The sequence below is a fragment of the Homo sapiens genome, chromosome 7, assembly GCF_000001405.40.
Source record: "Homo sapiens chromosome 7, GRCh38.p14 Primary Assembly".
Lineage (NCBI taxonomy): Eukaryota > Metazoa > Chordata > Mammalia > Primates > Hominidae > Homo > Homo sapiens.
In genome coordinates this window covers 129,140,689-129,144,619 of record NC_000007.14, presented here as the reverse complement: position 1 = coordinate 129,144,619, position 3,931 = coordinate 129,140,689, and positions in this window count along the sequence as shown.

Below are 3,931 nucleotides of genomic sequence, written 5' to 3'. Positions count from 1 at the left end.
AGCCATCCCTCTCCACCGAGAGTCGGGGGAGACACCTGTTCTGTGAGGGATAACTTGTTAAAGGGTCAGCGGTTCTGCCTCTCCCCTACCCCTAAGGGAAAGCATCCAGGCTGCAGCTGCTCAAAGGAACAAGAGTGAGGAGAAGGAATGCACAGTGCATCCCACACCCACGTCCTCCGCCCAGCTGCTGTGCACATATGCAAACACACATACATTAAAATCAACAAGTACGCACACCGTGTGTTGAGCAATGCGCCGAAAGCTCTGGGAACGCGGGAGAACAGAAACAATCCCTGGGGGATGACAATAAAATCAGGGAGACAAAACTAACCTACACATAACAATTAGACCAAGGGTAGATGCAATCTTGTTTAGTAACTATACATTTTAAATGCTTATTTCAGAAGCTCTACAACCCAACAGTGGAAATTTGGAAACATCACCGCCAATCCCGCCATCCTAATTCATTGCTGTCTCAATTCCCGCCCCCGCAGCCCCTCTTCCCTTGGTCTACTTGCAGACACCGTTTTTAACATGCTGATCCGGCACACACAGGTTGAGTGCAGCGTAGCTGGCGAATATATTATGCTGGCTACCCTAACTAATACAAGTTGAACCTCGGGGAGGGAATCTGATTCCACCATAATTAGCTGCGTGAAAGCTGCAAGCTACTTAATCTCTCGGAGCCTCAGTTTGTTTAATGTTAAATGGGAGAGTCCTGACCTAGATGGCGATTTGAGGATTAAATGAGATAATGCATGTAGCTCACTTAGCACATGGCTGGCACATGGAAGGCTCATCAAAGGCATTACAGTATTTCGTTTTAGCAGAATTAAGAATCCAGTGTGGAAATATGATAACCGCACAAATAATTATAATACGTTTGGTAGAAGGTTAGTGAAGATAGCGTGGCAAGTGAAATTAGGGGAGGATGGGATTTAGAATAGTAGAGACGGAGGGGAAACATAATCCAGGTGGATTAAAAAAAAAGGGGGTGAACCAAAGCCTGGAGGTGCAAAAGCACGCCATGTGTTTCGTGCAAAATAAGCAGACTGCTGTGGCTGGAGCACAGGGTATGCTTGGAATAGCAGTGGGACATAATGCTGACCGATGCCGTTACATGTGGAATTGTGTTAAAACTGCGGAAGTAATTGAATATCAGATTGGGGAGTTAGTGCTTAATTGACTTGGAAATAAGAGTTTTGGAGAAAAGGATGATGGAAAACCCATGGTTTTCAGTTGGAGTGGGAAAGAGGCTGGAGAGAGAAAGATTTGTTAGAAGCATGCTGCTCATCATCCAGATAATCAGAAATCAGGAACTGATTTAGGAGTAATAGACAGAATAATAGATGGTTAGGAGAGGATAGAAGGGAAGGCATTGGAAAGATAGAATCTCTAGGGCTAGGCTGTGGTGACAAGCAGGCATAACAGGAGCACCAAGAGTGGAGGTTAAAGAAGGCAGTCACAGCCAGGTTACTGGGAGATTACTGGCCCTTAACAGGTTAAGTGACACTGGAGATCAGTTTTAGTATAAAGCAGGTAGGGTGGGCAGAAGTCATTTTCCAAGAGGTTAATGAGTGAATAGGTAGGTGCCATTTTCAGATGTTAGTGCGGGGAGGATAGAGAAATAGACCAAGATGCTGAATGTTTCTATTAGATGATCTTCCAGAAATCAGTTTTATTTTTTTGAAACGGAGTCTCACTCTGTCGCCCAGGCTGGAGTGCAGTGGCCTGATCTCAGCTCACTGCAACCTCCGCCTCCCTGGTTCAAGCGATTCTCCTGCCTCAGTCTCCCAAGTAGCTGGGATTACAGGCGCCCGCCACCATGCCTGGCTAGTTTTTGTATTTTTAGTAGAGATGGGGTCTCACCATGCTGGCCAGGATGGTCTGAACTCCTGACCTTAGGTGATCCACCTGCATGGGCCTCCCAAAGTGCTGGGATTACAGGCATGAGCCACTGTGCCCAGCCAAGAGATCATTTTTAATTGAGACGGGAAGAAGAAGGAATATCACAGTGTCAAGGAAGGAATGGGTGGTGAAATGGAAGCTGTGAACGAAACTGTGGACATCTCTGTCTGGCTTTGAAGGTTATGGGAGCCTTAAGGGACTTCAGAGTGAAGGGAAAGTTCTCTGTTAGCATATAAGAGACCTAACATGTTCGTAGGAAACAAAACAAAACAAAACAAAACAAAACAGTCAAGAGGGATTAAGGTGGATAATGGCTGGAATGAGGTTTTGGAATTAACAGGTAGAGATGGGATTAGCCTTCAAAGTGATGACCACAATGTCCCTCATGTGGAAGTCACGGACGGCATCACAAAGTAGGAAGCCATGCAGCTATAGAACAAAGAATTAGGAAACTCTCTCTGTACTGAGTTGGAACGATCTCCAAGTTAACTCATTACGTTTAAAAAGCAAAATGAGGCCGGGGTGGCTCATGCCTGTAATCCCAGCACTTTGGGAGGCCGAGGCAGCCAGATCACGAGGTCAGGAGATCAAGACCATCCTGGCTAACACGGTGAAACCCTGTCTCTACTAAAAATACAAAAAAATTAGCCGGGTGTGGTGGCGGGCACCTGTAGTCCCAGCTACTCGGGAGGCTGAGGAAGGAGAATGGCATGAACCTGGGAGGCGAAGGTTGCAGTGAGCCGAGATCGCACCACTGCACTCCAGCCTGGGCGGCAGAGCAAGACTCCGTCTCAAAAAAAAAAAAAAAAAAAAAGCAACAAGTGGGACAGTGGATACAATATATCACATTCTGGTTAAAGAGAAAGAGAGAAAACAAAAATAAGGAATAACATTTATATTTGCTTCCCTCTGCCTAAATAAACTCTGGAAGGAAACGTAAGACATTAAGAAAGGAGGTTACATACTGGGATGGTGATGAGAACTGAAAAGAGAGGAGAGAGACTTTTCACTGTGTGCCATTTTATTCTTTGTTTTTTTTTTGTTTTTTTTTCTTTGCAGCATAAAGTGTATTAATGATTCAAAATGAAAAAATTACACAAATTGAAAAATCAAAAAGAATTTAAAAATTGGAAAAATGTATCTTTACTATAGAATGCTACGCAGCCATTTAAAATAACATAGAAAACATATGTACTGACTTGCAAAAAGGTCCATGACATATGAGGTGCAAAAATCAGGTTGTAGAATAAAGTATACAGAGTATCTGACAATCAGTGAATAGTTTCAACTTATTTCAAGTCCTTGGAAAAGGTATTCAGTTCTTTGGAATACATAATGTGGCCATTTAAAATGGAATTCAATGGAAAAGGTATTTCAGTTATGTGGAATATATAATGTGGCCATTTAAAATGGAATTCAAAGCAGAAGTGGTGGCTCATGCCTGTAATCCCAGCACTTTGGGAGGCCAAGGTGGGCAGCTGACTTGAGGCCAGGAGTTTGAGACCAGCCTGGCCAACATGGCAAAACTCTATCCCTACTAAAAATACAAAACTTCGCTGGGCGTGGTGGTGTGCACCTGTAATCTCAACTACTTGGGAGGCCGAAGCACAAGAACTGCTTGAACCCAGGAGGTGGAGGTTGCAGTGAGCCAAGATTGCACCACTGCACTCCAGCCAGGGTGACAGAAATTCTGTCTCCAAAAACACACACAAAAAAAACAAAAGAAAACAAACAAACAAAAAATGGAACCCAAAAAACTTATGTAATAGTATGTAAGATTTTAACAATATAAACATATTCACAGTAAGAAATATGGGCCAATTTCAACAGAGATGAAAAAATATAAAAGTAAAATCAGCTGTGTTGTTGTGACGGGACATGTAGCAATTTTTAGCTTAAAAATATATTTAATATTATTACATATGATTATGAAAATAATTAAAATATTTGAATGGTATCTCTGTAAAGAAAGAGGGTCATGTTGCTGGAGCTAACATTGGCAAGAAGGTATGTGAAGAGAGAA